The sequence below is a fragment of the Homo sapiens genome, chromosome 19, assembly GCF_000001405.40.
Source record: "Homo sapiens chromosome 19, GRCh38.p14 Primary Assembly".
Lineage (NCBI taxonomy): Eukaryota > Metazoa > Chordata > Mammalia > Primates > Hominidae > Homo > Homo sapiens.
In genome coordinates this window covers 12,327,182-12,345,853 of record NC_000019.10, presented here as the reverse complement: position 1 = coordinate 12,345,853, position 18,672 = coordinate 12,327,182, and the positions used below count along the sequence as shown (strand labels likewise).

General features: G+C 43.5%; 1 protein-coding gene across 5 annotated transcripts in view, besides 5 other annotated features; it reads left to right on the top strand.

The window, feature by feature from the left end:
• ZNF563 (zinc finger protein 563) overlaps window positions 1-18,672 on the top strand; it is a 29,914-nt gene that overhangs the window by 1,537 nt on the left and 9,705 nt on the right. For 4 of the 5 annotated variants that reach the window (XM_005259750.5, NM_001363608.1, NM_145276.3 and 1 more), the window contains exon 1: window positions 12,221-12,374. The exons of the other annotated variant lie outside the window; for it this stretch is intronic. In XM_005259750.5, the coding sequence (XP_005259807.1) occupies window positions 12,372-12,374 (3 nt within the window). In that variant the 5' untranslated portion in view covers window positions 12,221-12,371. Of the gene's footprint in view, window positions 1-12,220; window positions 12,375-18,672 lie in introns of those variants that run through there. 5 annotated transcript variants of the gene reach the window in all.
• Window positions 11,300-12,165: an enhancer, noted in NCBI's record as "H3K27ac-H3K4me1 hESC enhancer chr19:12444503-12445368 (GRCh37/hg19 assembly coordinates)". NCBI's record gives its function as "activates a minimal SCP1, AML or CMV promoter by ChIP-STARR-seq in primed H9 embryonic stem cells {active_cell/tissue: H9 hESC(primed)}" and the evidence as "EXISTENCE:reporter gene assay evidence [ECO:0000049][PMID:30033119]".
• Window positions 11,988-12,127: a silencer, noted in NCBI's record as "silent region_10147". NCBI's record gives its function as "represses an Ori minimal core promoter by ATAC-STARR-seq in GM12878 lymphoblastoid cells {active_cell/tissue: GM12878}" and the evidence as "EXISTENCE:reporter gene assay evidence [ECO:0000049][PMID:35858748]".
• Window positions 12,268-12,527: an enhancer, noted in NCBI's record as "active region_14051". NCBI's record gives its function as "activates an Ori minimal core promoter by ATAC-STARR-seq in GM12878 lymphoblastoid cells {active_cell/tissue: GM12878}" and the evidence as "EXISTENCE:reporter gene assay evidence [ECO:0000049][PMID:35858748]".
• Window positions 12,758-12,867: an enhancer, noted in NCBI's record as "active region_14050". NCBI's record gives its function as "activates an Ori minimal core promoter by ATAC-STARR-seq in GM12878 lymphoblastoid cells {active_cell/tissue: GM12878}" and the evidence as "EXISTENCE:reporter gene assay evidence [ECO:0000049][PMID:35858748]".
• Window positions 14,045-14,124: an enhancer, noted in NCBI's record as "active region_14049". NCBI's record gives its function as "activates an Ori minimal core promoter by ATAC-STARR-seq in GM12878 lymphoblastoid cells {active_cell/tissue: GM12878}" and the evidence as "EXISTENCE:reporter gene assay evidence [ECO:0000049][PMID:35858748]".

The window sequence follows — 18,672 nt, the reverse complement described above, 5'->3', positions numbered from 1 at the left end:
CTCCACCTCAGGTTCAAGTGATTCTCATGCCTCAGCCTCCCAAGTAGTCAAGTAGCTGGGATTATAGGCACCCACCACCACGCCTGTCTAAATTTTGTATTTTTAGTAGGGACAGAGTTTAACCATGTTGGCCAGGCTGGTCTCCAATTCCTGACCTCAAGTGATCTGCTCGGCCTCCCAAAGTGCTGGGATTACAGCCATGAGCCACTGTACCCAGGCTCTTCTAAGTATTTTATAGTTTTAGCTTTTAAGTATAGGTCTTTGATTAAATATAAGTTACTATTTATACATGATGTAATGTGATGGTTCACTTTTATTATTTGCATGTAGATATCCAGTTTTCCCAACACCATTTTTTGAAAGATTGTCCTTCTACCAAAGAACGGTCTTGGCACTGTTGTCAAAAATCATTTCACCCTGTATATGAGCATTTATTTCTAGGCTGTCTACTCTATTCCATTGGCCTATCTGTTTGTCTTTATGCCAGTACCATACTGTTTTGATCACTGTAGCTTTGTAGTAAGTTTTGAAATAAGGCAGTGTGAATTCTTCAACATTGTTCTTTTTCAAGATTGTTTTGGTATTAGAGATCCCTAGAGATTTGAAGTGAATTTTAGAATAGGCTTTTCTATTTCTGTATAAGAAGCTGTTAGGATTTCTATAGGGATCACATTGATTCTGTAGATTGATTTTGGTAGTATTTTAATCTTAGCAATAGTAAGTCTTGGAATCCATGAACATGGGATATCTTTCCATTCATTTATCTTCCTTAATTTGCTTCAAGAATGTTTTGTAGTTTTCAATGTACACATCACTGATTTCTTGGTTTCATTTATTTTTAAGTGTTTTACTTTTTTTGATGCTTTTATAACTAAAATTATTTTCTTAATTTTCTTTTTGGATTGTTTATTCATTGTTAGTCTATTGTTTATTCATTGTTAGCAGCTGATTTTTGTGTATTGATTTTATATTCTGCAACATTGCTGCATTTGTTTTATAAGCTGTAAAATTTTATTTTTCCCTTGTGGAGTCTTCAGTGTTTTCTCCACATAGAATCATGTAATCTGTAAACACAGATAATTTTACTTCTTTCTCTCCAATTTGGATTCCTTTTATTTCTTTTTCTTACCTTATTTCTGTAGCTATAACTTCCATTAGTATGTTGAATAGAACTGTTGAAAGTGGGCATCCTGTCTTCTTGATATTAGAGGGAAGGCTTTCAGTCTTTCAAATTGACCATGTTACCTACAGGTTTTTCATATGTGACTTTTTTCCTATTAAGGAAGTTTCTTTCCATTCCTGGTTTATCAAATGTATTTTTTAAAAGGAACATAAGGTATTTAATTTTGTCAAATTATTTTTCTGTATCATTTGAGATGATAAATGTGTTTTTTGCCTTTTCTTCGTTAATGTGGTACATTACATTGATTGCTGTATATTGAACCACTTTTGCATTCTGGGAATAAATCCCACTTTTTTTTTTTTTTTTTTGAGACAATGTCTCACTCTGTTGCCCAGGCTGGACTGGAGTGGTGCGGGCTCAGGTGATACTCCTGCCTCAGCCTCCCGGGTAGCTGGGACCATAGGCACATGCCACCACACCCAACTAATTTTTGTATTTTTTGTAGAGACAGGGTTTTGCCATGTTGCTCAGGCTGGTCTCGAATTGCTGGGCTCAAGCACTCTGCCCACCTCATCCTCTGAAAGTGCTGGGATTACAGGCATGAGCCACTGTTCCTGGCCAACAAATTCCATATTTATAATCCTTTAAATATGCTGCTGAAGTACATTTGCCAGTATTTTGTTTAGAATTTATGCTTCAATAGGCTGGGCGCAGTGGCTCAAGCCTGTAATCCCAGCACTTTGGGAGGCCGAGGCGGGCGGATCACGAGGTCAGGAGATCAGGACCATCCTGGCTAACACGGTGAAACCCATCTCTACTAAAAATACAAAAAATTAGCCGGGCGTGGTGGTGGGTGCCTGTAGTCCTAGATACTCGGGAGGCTGAGGCAGAAGAATGGCGTGAACCCGGGAGGCAGAGCTTACGGTGAGCCAAGATCGCGCCACTGTACTCCAGCCTGGGCGACAGAGCGAGACTCCATCTCAAAAAAAAAAAAAAAAAAAAAAAGAATTTATGCTTCAATATTCATAAAAGATATTCTGTAGTCTTTTTCTGTTCTCGTAATGTCTTTTCTTGCCTTTCATCTCAAAGTGAGGCTGGCCTCACAAAATGAATTAGAACTTGTTTCTTCTTCCATTTTGTTTCCACAAACCAACTTTTGGTGTCAATAATATTGTCTGTTGTTTTTATATTCTCTTTTGATTTATCTCTGCTCTACTCTTTATTATTTACTTCTTTGTAGTGCCTTTTAAAAAATATTAAAGACAGGGTCCTGCTATGTTGCTTAGGCTAGAGTGTAGTGGCTATTCACAGGCCTGATTATGGTGCACTACAGCCTAGAATTCCTGGGTTCAAGCAATGCTCCTCCCTCAGCCTCCTGAGCAGCTGGGACTATAGGAATGTACCACCACACCCAGTTTGTCTCCTACCTTTTTAAAGAAGTTTGCGCTTCCTTTTCTAGTTCCTTAAACTGAAGAATTAGAATACTTATTGGAGTTCTTTCTTCATTTTCAATGAATGCTTTTTTTTTTTCCTTTTGAGACAGTCTCGCTCTGTCACCCAGGCTGGAGGGCAGTGACGTGATCTCAGCTCACTGCAACCTCCACCTCCCCGGTTCAAGCGATTCTCCTGCCTCAGCCTCTCAAGTAGCTGGGATTACAGGTGCTTGCCACCACACCTGGATAAGTTTTTGTATTTTTAGTAGAGACAGGGTTTCACCATGTTGGCCAGGCTGGTCTTGAACTCCTGACCTCGTGATCCACCCGCCTCGGCCTCCCAAAGTGCTGGGATTACAGGTGTAACCCACCGCACCCAGGCAATTAATGCATTTAAAGCTATAAAATTTTCTCTTAGCACTGCCATTGCTGCATCTCATAAGTTCTGATGTGTTAGATTTTTGTTTTCAGTGGTCTTAAGGTATTTTCTCTTTTTCTTTTCCTTTTTTTTTTTTTTTAATTTTTGAGACATGATCTCACTCTATCATTCAGGCTGGAGTGTGGTGGCCTAATCAGGGCTCACTGCAGCCTCCAACTCCTGGGCTCAAGTGACCCTCTTGCCACAGCCTCCCAAGTAATTGGGGCTATAGGTGCATGTGCATGTCTGGCTGATTTTTTAATTTTTTTTGTAGCGATAGAGTCTTACTATGTTGCCCAGGCTGGTCTCAAACTCCTGGTCTCAAGCAATCCTCCCATCTTGGCCTCTCAAACTTTTGGGATTACAGGTTTGAGGCACCACCCCCAACCTCTTTTTTTTTTGTTTTTTTTGAGACAGAGTCTCATGGCCTTAAAGTATTTTCTATTGCAATTTCTCATTTGACCCATTGGTTGTTGAAGAATGAATTAATTTACACTTATTTGTGTATTTTTTTCCAATAATTATAGTTTTATTTCACTGTATTTGAAAAATATACATCTGAGGCCAGATATGGTGGCTCATGCCTGTAATCCCAACACTTTGGGACACCCAGGTAGGAGGATTGCTTGAGCCCAGGAGATCAAGACCAGCCTGGGCAACATAGTAAGACCTCATCTCTACAAAATTTGAAAAAATTAGCCAGGTGTGATGGCATGCACTCCAGCCTGTGGTCCCAAATACTTAGGAGGCTGAGGTGGGAGGATTATTTAAGCCTGGGAAATCAAGGCTGCAGTGAACTGTGGTCATGCCACTGTACTCCAACTTAGGTGACAGAGCAAGACCCTGTCTCAAAAAGAAAAAGATACATCTTATTATCTCAGTTTTTAGAATTGTATGAAGACCTTTTGTGTTTTATGTCCTAATTATGGTCTGTCTTAGAGAGCGTTCCATGTGCACTTGACCAGAATGTGTATTCTACTGTCATTGGGTGGAGTATGCTTGTATATGTCATTATGTCTGTCTGTTTTGCTTATTGTGTTGTTGAAGTTATTTCATTTCTTTATTGATCTTCTATCTGATTATTCTATCCATTCTTGAAAATGTAGTGTGAAGTCTCAAACTCTTACTGTGGAACTCTCCATTTCTTCTTCATTTCTGTTAATGTTTAATTTATTTTGGGCCTCTGTTGTTTAGTGCAAGTATGTTAATAATTGTTGTATATTCTGTATGTATTGACTCTTTTATAAATAGTGTTCTTCTTTGTCTCCTTTAACAGTTTTTGGCTTAAATTCTATTTTGTATGATAGTGATGTAGCCCCCCCTGTTCTATTTGGATTACTATTTGCATGGAATATTTTTCTTCATGCCCTCCCTTTCAACCTATTTGTGTCTTGAGATCTAAAATGAGTTTCTAGTAGGCAGAATACAGTTGGATCATATTTTTCACCCATTCTGCTTATCTCTGCCTTTTTATTGGTGAGTTTAATTCATTTTCATATAAAGTAATCAATGATAAGAAAGCCCTTAAGGCTGGGCACAGTGGCTCATGCCTGTAATCCAAGCACTTTGGGAGGCTGAGGCAGGCGGATCATTTGAGGTCAGGAGTTTAAGACCAGCCTGGGCAACATGGCAAAACCGCAGATCTACTAAAAATACAAAAAATTAGCTAGGCCTGGTGGCATGCACCTGTAATCCCAGCTACTCAGGAGGCTGAAGTGGGAGAATCACCTGAACCCAGGAGGTCGAGGCTACGGTGAGCCAAGATTGTGCCACTGCACTGCATCTTGGGCAATGGAAGTGAGACCTTGTCCCAAATAAATAAATAAAAATAATAGGTTTTATAATTGTCCATGTATTTCTTTTTACTAAGATCTTTATTTCCACCTACACCTTCCAGATACCATCCAGTGTTCTTTTCTTTTTTTTTTTCCCAGTGTTCTTTTATTTCAAACTGCAAAATACTCTACATTTCTCACAGAGCACATCTAATAATAATTTTTAAAACTACCTCAGTTTTTTCATGTGGGCAAGTCTTAATTTTTTTCTCACTTTTGAAAAACAGTATTGACAGATATTAGATTCGTAGTTGACTTTTTTTTTTTGGAGATGGAGTCTTACTCTGTCGCCCAGACTGGAGTGCAGTGGTGCAATCTTGGCTCACTGCAACCTCCTCCTCTCAGGTTCCAGTGATTTTCTTGTCTCAGCCTCCTGAGTAGCTGGGACTACAGGCTTGCGCCACCACGCCTGGCTAATTTTTGTATTTTTTTCAGTAGAGACAGGGTTTCACCACGTTGGCCAGGATGGTCTTGAACTCCTGACCTCAAATGATCCGCCCACCTTGTCCTCCCAAAGTGCTGGGATTACAGGCATGAGCCATCATGCCTAGCTGACTGTTTTTGTTTTTATGTTTGACATAGGGTCTCACTATATTGCCCAGGCTGATCTTGAACTCCTAAGCCGAAGTGGTCCTACCTCAGTCTCCTGAGTAGCTGTGACTATATGCCTGGTTACATTTTCTTATCTTTTCTTCTTCTTTTTTTCTTTTTGAGACAGAGTCTCACGCTGTTCCCCAGGCTGGAATGCAGTGGCATGATCTCGGCTCACTGCAACCTCCGCCTCATGGGTTCAAGTGATCCTTCTGCCTCAGCTTCCGGAGTAGCTAGGATTACAGGCATATGCCACCATTCCTGGCTAATTTTTGTATTTTCTGTAGAGACCGGTTTTGCCATGTTGGCCTGGCTGACCTGAAACTCCTTACCTCAAGGTATCTGCCCATGTCGGCCTCCCAAAGTACTGGGATTACAGATGTGAGCCACCGCACCTGGCCACATTTATTTTTCTTTTAGCACTTTGATTAACATCTGCCCACTATTTTCTGGTCTCCAACATTTCTCATGAGAAATCTACTGATCTTATGAAGGATCATTTATATGTGATGAATCACTTCTTTTTTGCTGCTTTCAAGATTATCTTTGTTGTCCTTGGCTTTTGACAGCTTTAGTATAATGTGCATTTATGCGTTTCTCTTTGTATTCATCCTACTTAGAGTTCGTTGAGCTTCTTGGATGTCTACATCCATGGCTTTCACTTAATTTAGAATGTGTTCTTCCATTATTTCTCAAAATATTCTCCCTTCACCTTCTCTCTCTCTCTTCTCCTTCTGAAGCTCCCACAGTGCATATATTGGCCTGCTCAATGCCCTCCTACATGTCTCACCTGACTGCTACACCTAATTCCAACTTATTTCCAGGTCAAGGCTCTGTATAGAGTGGCTATTTTGATAGAAATTAACTAGATGCTGGCCAGGCATGGTGGCTCATGCCTGTAATCCCAGCAATTTGGGAGGCTGAGGCAGGTGGATCACCTGAGGTCAGGAGTTTGAGACCAGCCTGACTAACATGGTAAAACCCCGCCTCTACTAAAAACACAAAAATTAGCCGGGCGTAGTGGCGGGTACTTGTAATCCCAGCTACTCGGGAGGCTGAGGCAGGAGAATCGCTTGAACCCAGGAGGCGGAGGTTGCAGTGAACTGAGATCACGCCATTGTACTCCAGCCTGGGTGACAGAGCGAGACTCCATCTCAAAAAAAAAAAAAAAAAAAAAAAAGAAATCAACTGGATGCATGTCAGACAAGAGCCACAAGGACATCGGCCAGTATAACCACCAAGTTTCCTGTGAGGGACACCTGGTCACTGATTGACATTTAAACATTAGTCCCTTCACCAGAATGAAGTGTCCTGTGGAAAGCACACTGTAAACATCACAACGAGATGTCCTGGAGCCCCATCATGGCAGCACTAGAGTTCATAGCCAAACTCCTGAGAGACCCCACTGCCAAACTGGAGGAAAATACATGTGCATGGCTGCCTGCAACAGAGGTAGTGGGGAGAAGTCCAGCTGGTCCTATGCTGAATGTTGAAATGGCCACAATTAACCACAGTTTACCATCCAAATCATTTTCTGGAATTTTCAAGGCTTCAATAGACTGTAGTGTGTTGTTTTGTTTTGTTTTGTTTTGTTTTGTTTTGAGATGGAGTCTCAGTCTTGTTGCCCAGGCTGGAGTGCAATGGTGTGATCTTGGCTCACCGCGACCTCTGCCTCCCAGGTTCAAGCGATTCTCCTGCCTCAGCCTCCCGAATAGCTGGGATTACAGGCATGTGCCACCATGCATGGCTAATTTTGTATTTTTATAGAGACAGGGTTTCTCCATGTTGGTCAGGTGGGTCTCGAACTCCTGACCTCAGGTGATCCTCCCACTTCGGCCTCCCAAAGTGCTGGGATTACAGGCATGAGCCACTGCGCTTGGCCAACTGTAGTGTTTTAAAATAGCTCCATCAAGCCGGGTGTGGTGCCTCATACCTGCAATCCCAGCTCTTTCCGAGGCAGGTGGATCTCTTGAGTTCAGGAGTCCAAGACCAGCCTGGCCAACATGGCGAAACCCCATCTCTACTAAAAATGCAAAAAATTAACTGGGTGTGGTGGTACACACCTGTAATCCCAGCTACTCAGGAGGCTGAGGCACAAGAATCACTTGAGCCCAGGAGGTGGAGGTTGCAGTGAGCTGAGGTTGTGCCACTGCACTCCAGCCTGGGCGTCAGAGCAAGACTCTGTCTCAAAAAATAAGAATAAATAAAATAGCTCCATCAGACAGATTCTGCCAGTAAAACTGTTGTCTAGGTGGGGAGACAGCTTCTTTATGCTTGGTACCCTGCCATCTACCCTGAATCCTCTGCCCTGAGGGTTTTTTGTTTGTTTGTTTTCTTCCTTTCTTTCTTTTTTAGACAGTGTCTCACTCTGTTGCCAAAGCTGGAGTGCAGCAGTGTGATCATAGCTCACTCCAGTCTTGACCTCCTAGACTCAAGTGATCCTCCTGCCTCAGTCTCCTGAATAGCTAGGACTACAGTTCTATGCCACCATGCTCGGCTAATTTTTATTTATTTATTTATTTATTGGTAGACATGGTGGTTTTACTCTGTTCCCCAGGCTGGTCTTGAACTTCTAGCCTTGGCCTCTCAAAGGGCGGAGTTAACAGGTATGAACCACTGCACCTGGCTTTGCCCTGAGTTTTTACACTAATATATTATTTCATGTCTCACATTAAATGTCACCTTCTCAGGGTTCTTCATACCACCTCAGTGACTCTTACATGTTTTTATTTGTAGAATTTTTTTCCTGGCACTTTTTAGATTCAGGGAAATCCAATTAAGGTTGACAGAATGTTTTGGTTTCTTAACTGTTGAAAAGTTAAATCATATAAATGAAACCAAACTGAATGGTGTTATGTTTACTTTTATCATCTGTATTGCTGTGTATGAAAGTACCCCAGAAAACCGGAAAACCATTTTTAAAAGCCTTTTTCCAGAAAGGAAAATAAAATGGCCAGACAGCGTGGCTCACACCTGTAATCCCAGCAGTTTGGGAGGCCAAGGTGGGTGGATCATCTGAGTCTAAGAGTTTAGACCAGCCTGGCCAACGTGGTGAAACCCTATCTTTACAAAAAAATACAAAAATTAGCCAGGCATGGTGGGACATGCCTGCAGTCCCAGCCTCTCGGGAGGCTGAGGTAGGAGGATCGCTTGAGCCCAGGAGGTTGAGGCTGCAGTGAGCCATGATGGTGCCACTGCATTCCAGTGTAGGTGATGGAGCGAGAGCTCGTCTCAAAAAAAAAGAGAGAAATAAGCTAACTGTTGTGGTAAGGGGTGACATTAATATTATTCACACATCCTTTCTCTGGTGCGGATTTCTCAGGGTTGTGCTGAGACCTCCAGTATTTACAGCAGCTGATAGTCACTTAGAATATTCTGTCTGTGCCCTCACTGAGCAGGTAGTGACACAGGTTAAGAAGAACAGAAGCAAATAAAATGGATGTGTCCTCACCCAAGACATTACTATCTGAGAAGACTGTTTCAAATGAATAAATGAAACTGTGGGCATGAGAACCACAGGTGAATTCAACCTGGGCCAGTTTGCTTAAAAGGAAAATGTATTTGTACAATACTTAGGATTTAGATACAGATATGACTGTTTGGGTCAATGGTGTGGGCTGGGGTTGAGAGGGGGTTTCAGATGGATAAATGGGACATGTCCATCCCCAGGCACAGAGCACATGATGTCAACCCTGAGCTATGAAGGTCAGGGAGTGACTGAAGCCAAGGAGAGAGGAGAGCTCACATTTAATTAGTTGTTTTACACAACAGTTTGCTAAGGTAAAAATAATAGTTTGTTAGCATGTTTGTTTCTCAACAGAATAATTATTTACCAGTTGGTTTTGTTTGCTTGTTTGTTTTTGAGACGGAGTCTCGCTCTGTCGCCCAAGCTGGAGTACAATGGTGCGATCTTAGCTCACCACAACCTCCACCTCCTGGGTTCACGCGATTCTCCTGCCTCAGCCTCCTGAGTAGCTGGGATTACAGGCACGCACCACCATGCCCAGCTAATTTTTAGTATTTTTAGTAGAGACGGGGTTTCACCATGTTGGTCAGGCTGGTCTTGAACTCCTGACGTTGTGATCTGCCCGCCTCAGCCTCCCAAAGTGTTGGAATTGCAGGTGTGAGCCACCGCGCCTGGCCTTGTTTTGTTTTTGAGGAACCAAGATCTCCCCGTGTTGCCCAGACTGGTCTCCAATTCCTGGGCTCAAGCAATCCTCCTGCCCCTGCCTCCTAAAGTGCTGGGATTACAGGCCCAAGGCACCATGCCCAGTCCATTTACCAGTTTCCAAATCCCTATTAAATATCTTATATATATTTTTTCCACTACTTTATATATAGACACAGGAAGAAACCCAAGATTGTCAATTTTTTATTCAAACAGTGGAATTGAGGGTCTTTGTTTCAATTAACTCATCAGTGCTGGTGAGAAGCAAGTGAAGACTCTTACAGAGGCCATGGGGAACATTCCCTTTTGCCCTCTGATGTTTTGCTGAATTAATTGGAGAGAAGGCAGATTAATTGGAGGAAAAGCATACAAATTTTATTTAACGCGTATATCCAGGAAGCTTCAGAATGAAGACCCAGAGATACAAAGGAAATTGTTCATTTTAATGCTTAGGCTTAATGTATGGACAGCCGTGTAGAAATGTGATTAGATTGAAAGAGTATGATCCAATGCTAACAGACTGAGTGGGGAAACCCAACAAGGCCTGTGTGTCTAGATTGTTCTTGGCCTTTCTGAGCATGCATTCCTTCCTTCTCAGTATGAGGCAGGACCCACTCTGAAATGGAGGGTCTTATGACCTACAGCAAGCTTGTCCAACCCATGGCCCAGGAAGGCTTTGGATGCAGCCCAACACAAATTCATGATCTTTCTTAAAACATTAGGAATTTTTGTTTTTGCTATATATTTTTAAGCTCATTAGCTATTGTTAGTGTTAGTGTATTTTATATGTGGCCCAAGACGATTCATCTTCTTCCAATGTGGCCCAGGGAAGCCCCAGGGCCACCCTGACCTGCAGTCAAACAAAGTTGGACAGTTAATTTGCTTATGGCCAGTTTTTACACAGAAAGGACAATGGAAAGTTAGAGTAGTATGTTTTGATTTTATGCCTGGATTTAGGGGAAAAGGGTTCTGGATTCTACGACCCACTTTGGAGAAGAGAGATTCTAGTTTCTAAGGCTAGCCTTGGATAGAAGAGTAGGACTAAGAGTCCCAAGAATGGGACTAAGTTTTTCCTCTGCCCTCTGTGGAGAAAAAACTTTTGCTTCTGAGGCTTCTTCCAAGGTCTTCTTTTTGGGGTATTGTTTTCTGAGCCCCAGCCACCTGGAGTGGGCAGCAGAGTTTGAACCAGTGACTCTACACCGAGCCCATTCTGAAGGCTGCAAAGGGAGAGAAATGGAGCCCCCTTTGGTGCTTCCTCAGCAGCCTGCGCACGCCTCCACGTAGCACGAAGCTGCACATAGAATCAGAATTTACCATTTATGTGTTAGGAAAATCTGGGTAAAGGGTTTATGAATTTGACAGTTTATGTAGGTCAGTACCTTAAAGTAACCTTTTTTTTTTTTTTTTTTTTTTTTTTGAGACCAGGTCTCACTCTGTCACCCAGGCTGGAATGCCGTGGCACGATCTCGGCTCACTGCAACCTCCGCCTCCCAGGTTCAAGTGATTCTCCTGCCTCAGCCTCCCGAGTAGCTGGGATTACAGGTGCCCGCCACCATGCCCAGCTAATTTTTGTATTTTTAGTAGAGATGTGGTTTCACCATGTTGGCCAGGCTGGTCTCCAACTGGTGACCTCAGGTGATTCACCCGCCTCGGCCTCCCAAAGTGCTGGGATTGCAGGCGTGAGCCACCGCCCCGGGCCCTTAAACTAACTTTACATGAAACTTTCCTGTTGGTGAAAATGCACATCTTGACGGTGGGGGCATTTCCACACTCTGCAGAGGGCACAGGGAAGTATGTTGAGCTCCCAGAGTCAAATCCTTCAGTGTCCCAGTCTCATCACCAGGTTTTGGTTCACTCTGGGGTTCCATTTCAACAGTTAAGAGTGGCTGCCAAGTTTGGGCATATGTTTAGCCTCCTGAATGGGACGTTTGCTGAAGTATGAGGGCAGCAGGCTGCTTATCTGCACTAGTTCAAGTTTTTGCTTTTTTTTTCCTGTTGTATTTTTGTTTTGATTCATTCATTCATTTATTGCTGCCGTGTGATTTCAGTTCTTCCACACATTTGATATTTTAATACCGTTCTTGACTTGTTTTTATTTCCTTGGCTGAAAATGAGCAGATTGAGAGGCAAGGTGAGAGAGGAAGGCTTAACCTTGCCGCCAAGAGTCTCATCCTCAAATCCTGATGCCCGGTGGACATCAGGCCACCCTCCTGCTGCAGTGTGGCCTGTGTGGCCTTGGGCTCCCCTCTGCTCTGAGGCCAGGGGAATGGCTCCACTGGACTGTGAGTCTGGGATTCCCTGCAAAACACTTGTGACTCCTTCTCCAGGAGGAAAAGGCAGTAAGGGCCTGCTGAGTACGGGCAGGTAATTCTGCATAAATGCAAATGTTCCCTGGGAGGGATCAGGACAGCACAGGGAGGAAGCCTGCCCTGTCAAGGGCTGTGCCTGGAACTCGTTCATCCCGCTCGACTCAGCACTGTGTGATCGCTTCTTCTGTCACTCAGTGCCCAGGGGGCGGGACCTGGAGCCCTATCCAATCAGAGCTATGGGGCGGGGTCGTGAGAACTGTCAATCAGGCGCACGGCTGGCAGTAGGGTGCCAGGTTCAAAGAGCCCGCGGCGTCTTCACGCCCCTGCGCTCAGCTCTAGACTCAGTCGCTCGCTGAGAGACGCCCTGGAACGTCTGTGTAGCCTCAGTCGCTGAGAGACGCCCTGGAACGTCTGTGGCAGCCTCTGTCACAGTGGGACCCGCACTGGCAGCGGGAGGCAGAGGGAGGACCCTGGAACATCCCGGAAGCCGGGAAATGGTGCGTGTGCAGGGTCAGGCGTCCCAAAAGTGGGAAAGAGCTGGTTGGAACCGTCCAGAACCGGCCGCGGCGAACGTGGGCCTCCCCCGCCGTCAGCTCCGGGGTCTGGGACCCGAGTCCCCCTGGCGCAGCTCGACCCTCGGTCCCCTCAGCCACAGAGTGAGGCTGAGCTGGCAGCCGGGACCCCGGGCGTCCTATCCGGTCCCTGCGCGGCAACTGCGGTCCCGGCCTCGGAGCCCTGTCTGGGCAGCTCCTCGCCCGCAGCCCCCCATCTCCCCAGGATTGGGGGAGGGTCACGGAAGGGTCATGGAGGGAATCCCCACTCGTGTGTGGGGTTCGTGCCTGTGAGGAGCTGTGATCTGTGGGATCCTCAGTCTCTGTTTTCTTCCTAAAGGGGACCGGTGTCCCTCTGAGTCTTCAAAGGTTTGGGAAGGCAGATGTCTAATGCTTATCTTGTCCCCTCACCCTAACTCCTGGGGCTGGCAGTAAATCCCTAGATTTCCAGATTTTGCCCTGCATTTCATAAAGCTGACTTCCTCTCCGTCACAGGGGAACGACTGCTATCTGGGCCGGTAACGCCGGGGTAAAATAATTTTTACTAAGACAGTTGTAGGTAAAGTTATTAGCGAAAGAAGCAAAATCCATCGCAAGGGAGGCCATGGGAAGCCTGCAGGAGAGAAGCAGAGGCTTGTGGGTGATTTTATAGAATGGAACTTGGGCTGATTGATAGTGCCAAGGCAGCAGAGTGCCAAGGCAGCAGGGAGCTTAACTTGCATTCCTCTGTCAGCCCCGGTGTTTGATAAATTGAGGCGTTTGATGGTGAGCAGGAAGTCTGTGAATTAAGTGCGTTATCTGGGCAAGAAGGCCATGTCTTGGGCCATAAAGAAAGTTAGACATGTACAGGAGTTCCAGACCAGCCTGGCCAAGATGGCGAAACCCCTTCTCTACTAAAAATACAAAAATTAGCCAGACGTGGTGTCACATGCCTGTAATCTCAGCTACTCGAGAGGCTGAGGCAGGAGAATCGCTTGAACCCATGAGGCGGAGGTTGCAGTGAACTGAGATCACGTCACTGCACTCCAGTCTGGGCCGGCGACAGAGAGAGACTCCGTCTCAAAAAAAAAAAAAAAAAGAAAAAAGAAAAAAAACAAAGTTAGACCCGTAACTTACCTGCATTCTCTTTTGTTTAAATTCTCTGCACATGAAGATAGGCAGATTTATAGCTTTTTTGTTTTATCTTTCTGCTTTCCCCTGTTCCCTTTAGCCTTTCCCTAATTAAGACTTTAATTTAACAGCCTTTTCCCCTGTTCCCCTTAGCCTTTTCCCTAATTAAGACTCTACACTGTCCTCAGTTCACAGCAACATAATGAACTCTTTGTCCCCCAGGCTGTATTTCAAACAAATACAGTATTTTAACTGTCATTTTTTTCCCCAGGTAGCAATATATGATTCTTTTTTAGAAGATATGATTTTTGTTTGTGAATATTTCATATGTGAGGATGCAGAGAATAACCACCTGTCAGGTGGTTTAACCACTCTGCTGTAAAAACCAACAAGAAAAATGTCTGCGCCTCTTCTCCTTTTATCTTCTCTGGGCACAGGCACCTTATCTGGAAGTGTTTGGGTTGAGGTTCCCCTTTGGAAACCACCAGCTGATGAGTCCTGAGCCCACACTATCTTTTCCTGGTACTGGCTTTGATAACTGCCTGGGACTGGCACCAAGTGGATACAGCAGCCTTGTCTTGGAGGGTAGTGAATATCAGCCCCTGGGCCACTCCTCCCAGAGGACAGCCTGAGATGCAGGGCTGGGGCCTCCCAGGGGAAGAGCTGGATACCCTGTGGTGGGAGGATTCCCCTGGTATCCTCTTGTAAAAAGTTAAGCCCTGGGATACTCAGTTTTCTCACCCCAAGCCCAGTTTTCATTTCTTGGAGACATGGCTGGTCAGCCACTCAGGTGCTGGTATTGAGGGGGTAAAATAGAAATGATTCCCATCCTTTGAATTCTGTTAGACTAGTGAAGCAAGAAAAACTATCCGAAAGGTCAAAGATAACTTACCCCAGTGAGGTGGTGTAAGAGCCTGAAAGTACACAGTGCGGTATCTGGTGGTTGGGGGTAGGGAGTAGTCACTGAGCACTTCAGTGAGCAGCACGGGGGTGGGGGATGTCCCAGGTGACAGGAGGACCTGACCTGACCCTTGAATGAGACTTGTCTGTGTTCCAGTCAGCACTGCCCCTCCCTGAGGTTGTCAACCTTGAAAAGATTTGTTCACTCATTTCTGTTCAGTTTTTTCTTAGCTGTAAAATGCATTCTATCATTAGAGATTGATAGAGAAGATGTTTCTAAAGGGACAAGAAAGAGTTGGATTTCAGAAAACAAATTACATATATCTAGTCCTATATGCCTTTAAAAAATTCTTGTTTACTTTTCTTTTCTGTCGTACTACACAGAGCCTGTGTAGTAAGTTTTCCAGGTCTGTTTTTTTGTTGTTGCTGTTGTTTTGTTTTTAATTGGATCATCTCAATAGAATTTCAGGGCTTAGCAGAGAAAATGCCATCAGGGAAAATAAATTGGAAAAAACTTTCTTCCATGATGACTACAGAAAAATGAATACTGTCTCAAGGCTCTTAAAATACTTTTTCTGGTATGAGAAAGGTAGAGAACCACATTCAAAATGGAAGCTGAGGTAATAGAGTGAATAAAAATTCATGAAAACAGGCAGGTCTGTAATTAGTTGATTATTGTATATGGAGGTGTTAGGCAGAAGATTGGTTATTCTTCTGGAGATAACAATTTGTCCCTGTTCTTTGGGTTGAAGTAGCTGTCATTTGTATCGCTGCCTGGCAATACCTGCTGTGCCATAGTTTCTCATACCTTAAATAGATGCTCTTGTTCCAGAATTTGCTGTCTTCCATTGGACTTTGTACCCATCACTTTGCTAACACCATACTCTCCTGATTACTGTAGACTTCAAAGCCTTGATGTGTGGTAGAGAAAGCGCTTCCCTGTCTTAATTACGTAGGATTGCTATACCAGATTGCCATAAACTACGTGCCTTAAACAACAGTTGTTCATTTCTCAGTAGAGGCTGGGAATCCAAGTTCAAGTAGGTCAGATCTCTGGTAAGGGCCTGCTTCCAGGTTTAAAGATGGCAGTTTTCCCCTTATGTCCTCAGTGGTGGAGATATGTCTGTAATGTCTGTCTATTTTTGGTACTAGGGCAATGTTGGCCTTATAACATCAATTAGAAAGTATTACCTCTGCCCCGGGCGTGGTGGCTCATGCCTGTAATCCTAGCACTTTGGGAGGCCGAGGTGTATGGATCATCTGAGGTCACGAGTTCAAGACCAGCCTGGCCAACATGGGGAAGCCCGTCTCTACTAAGAATACAAAAATTGGCTGGGCTTAGTGACAGGCGCCTGTAATCCCAGCTATTCGGGAGGCTGAGGCAGGAGAATTGCTTGAACCTGGGAGGCAGAGGTTGCAGTGAGCCAAGATGGTGCCATTGCACTCCAGCCTGGGCAACAAGAGCAAAACTCCGTCTCAAAAAAAAAAAAGAAAAGAAAAGAAAAGAAAGTATTACCTACCTACCTACTTCTGTTTTCTGGAAGATATTGTAGAGAATTGGGATCATTTCTTCCATAAGTATTTGCCATAAATCACCAGTGAAATCATCCTGGTCTGTTCCTTTTTCTTGGGATATTTATCATTTATTGATTCAATTTATTCAATAGATATAGACCTATTCATATTACTTGATGTTACTTTTATGAGTTTTGGTAGACTGTGTCTTCTATGAAATTGGTCCATTCCATGTAATTTATCAAATATGTGGGCATTCAGTTGTTCCTAATATTCTTTCATGGCACTCTTAATGTCCATAGGGTTAGTAGTGATGGCCTCTCTTTTTTCTGTGTTAACTATGCTGTCGGCTTATCAGTTTTACAGATCTTTTCAGAGAATCATCTGTTGGTTTGTTGATGTTTTCTTTTCTTTTTTTTTTTTTTTTTGAGATGGAGTCTTGCTCTGTCACCCAGGCTGGAGTGCAGTGGTGTGATCTCAGCTCACTGCAACCTGCGCTTCCCGGGTTCAAGTGATTCTCCTGCCTCAGGCTCCCAAGTAGCTGGGATTAACAGGCATGTGCCACCACACTCAGCTAATTTTTGTATTTTTAGTAGAGACGGGGTTTCACCATGTTGGCCAAGCAGGTCTCGAACTCCTGACCTCGTGATCCGCCTGCCTTGGCCTTCCAAAGTGCTGGGATTACAGGCATGAGCCAACGCGCCCAGCCTGTTGATGTTTTCTATTGATTTCTTGATTGCTATTTCATTAATATCTCTTCCCATTGTTATTTTCCTCTGCTTGATTTACATTAATCTTGCTATTCTCTAGTTTCCTAAGATGGAAAGTTAGAGCACTGATTTTAGAGTTTTACTTTCTAGAGAATGCATTCGATTCTTTAAGTTTCCCTCAAAGCACTGCCTTTTCTGCATTCCAGAGATTTTGCTAAAATATATCCTTTTTCATCAGCACCATAATATTTGCATTTCATGTGACAAGTTTCTTTGACATCTGTGTACTTGAGAAATTTGTGGCTTAAATCTCCACTTTTTTGAGACTTTTCAACTATATTTAAGTTATTGGTTTATAATCTGATTACATATTTTATATAATTTCTTTTATTTATTTATTTATTATTTATTTATTTATTTTGAGATGGAGTTTCACTTTTGTTGCCCAGGCTTAAGTACAGTGGCACAATTTCGGCTCACCGCAACCTCCACCTCCTGGGTTCAAGTGATCTCCTGCCTCAGCCTCCTGAGTAGCTGAGATTACAGGCATGTGCCACCATGCCCGGCTATTTGTATTTTTAGTAGACACGGGGTTTCTCCATGTTGGTCAGGCTGGTCTTGAACTCCCGACCTCAGGTGATCTGCCCTCCTTGGCCTCCCAAAGTGCTGGGATTACAGGCATGAGCCACCGCACCCAGCTCTTTTCTCTTTTTTAAGAGACAGGGTGGTGGTCTGTCACACAGGCTGGTAGTGTGGAGTGCCATGATCATAGTTCAATGCAGCCTCCAACTCCTAGGCTCAAGCAATCTTCTTGCCTCAACTTTCAGATTATCTGGGACTATAGGTGCATGCCACCACTCCTGGCTAATGTTTATACTTTTATAGAGACAAGGTCTCACTATGTTGCTCAGTCTGGCCTCAAGCAATCCTTCCACTTTGGCCTCCCAAAGTGGTGGCACCACAGGTGTGAGCCACCATGCCTGGCCTGGAATTTCTATTTTAAAACATTTGTTCTAGTGTGTGTTATGGCTCAGAATTTTGTGCATCTTGGTGACTATTTCATGTGGGCTTGAGAAGAATATATACCCTGCTAGTGTTGAATGAAGGATTCTGTAAACACGTATCAATGAAATCCAGCTGATTAATAGTGCTATTGATTTCAGCCATATCGTTAGTGATTTTCTGACAAACTGATCTGTGAATTATTGATAGAGATGAGTTGTTTCCCTCCAACTATAATTGTAGATGTGTGTATTTTGCCTTGTGGTTTTTGTAATTTTTTACTTTATGTATTTTGATCCTCTATTTTATGGGCATAAATATTAAGGATTATTATGTCTTCTTGTAGGATTGACTTTCCTTATCATTCTGAACTCACTATCTATGCCTTATAATTTTCCTTAATCTAAAACCCGATTTGTCTGAATGTAATAGAGCTGTTTCATGTTCCTTTTGATTAGGGCTAGAATGGCATATATTTCTCTACTTAATGTATCTCTGTCTTTCTGTTTAAAATGTTTTTTATGTACACATTGCTAGGCTTTGTATTTTTATTCTACTCTGCCAGTCCTTGTCTTTTTTACTGGTAAATATAGATAATACACATTTAATGTAGTAATTGACATAATTGAATTAATATGTATATGTATATTACTGTTTTCTATTTGTTGCACTTGTCTGTTTTTTCAACTACCTCTTTTTTTCTTTTTCTTTTCTTTTTTTTTTTTTTTTGAGATGGAGTGTCACTCTGTCGCCCAGGCTGGAATGCAGTGGCACGATCTTGGCTCACTGCAATCTCCGTCTCCTGGGTTCAAGCGATTCTCCTGCCTCAGCCTCCCGAGTAGCTGGGACTACAGATGCCCGCCACCACACCCAGCTAATTTTTATATTTTTAGTAAAGACGAGGTTTCACCATGTTGGCCAGGCTGGTCTTGAACTCCTGACCTTGTGATCCACCTGCCTCAGCTTCCCAAAGTACTGGGATTACAGGCTTGAGCCACCGCACCCAG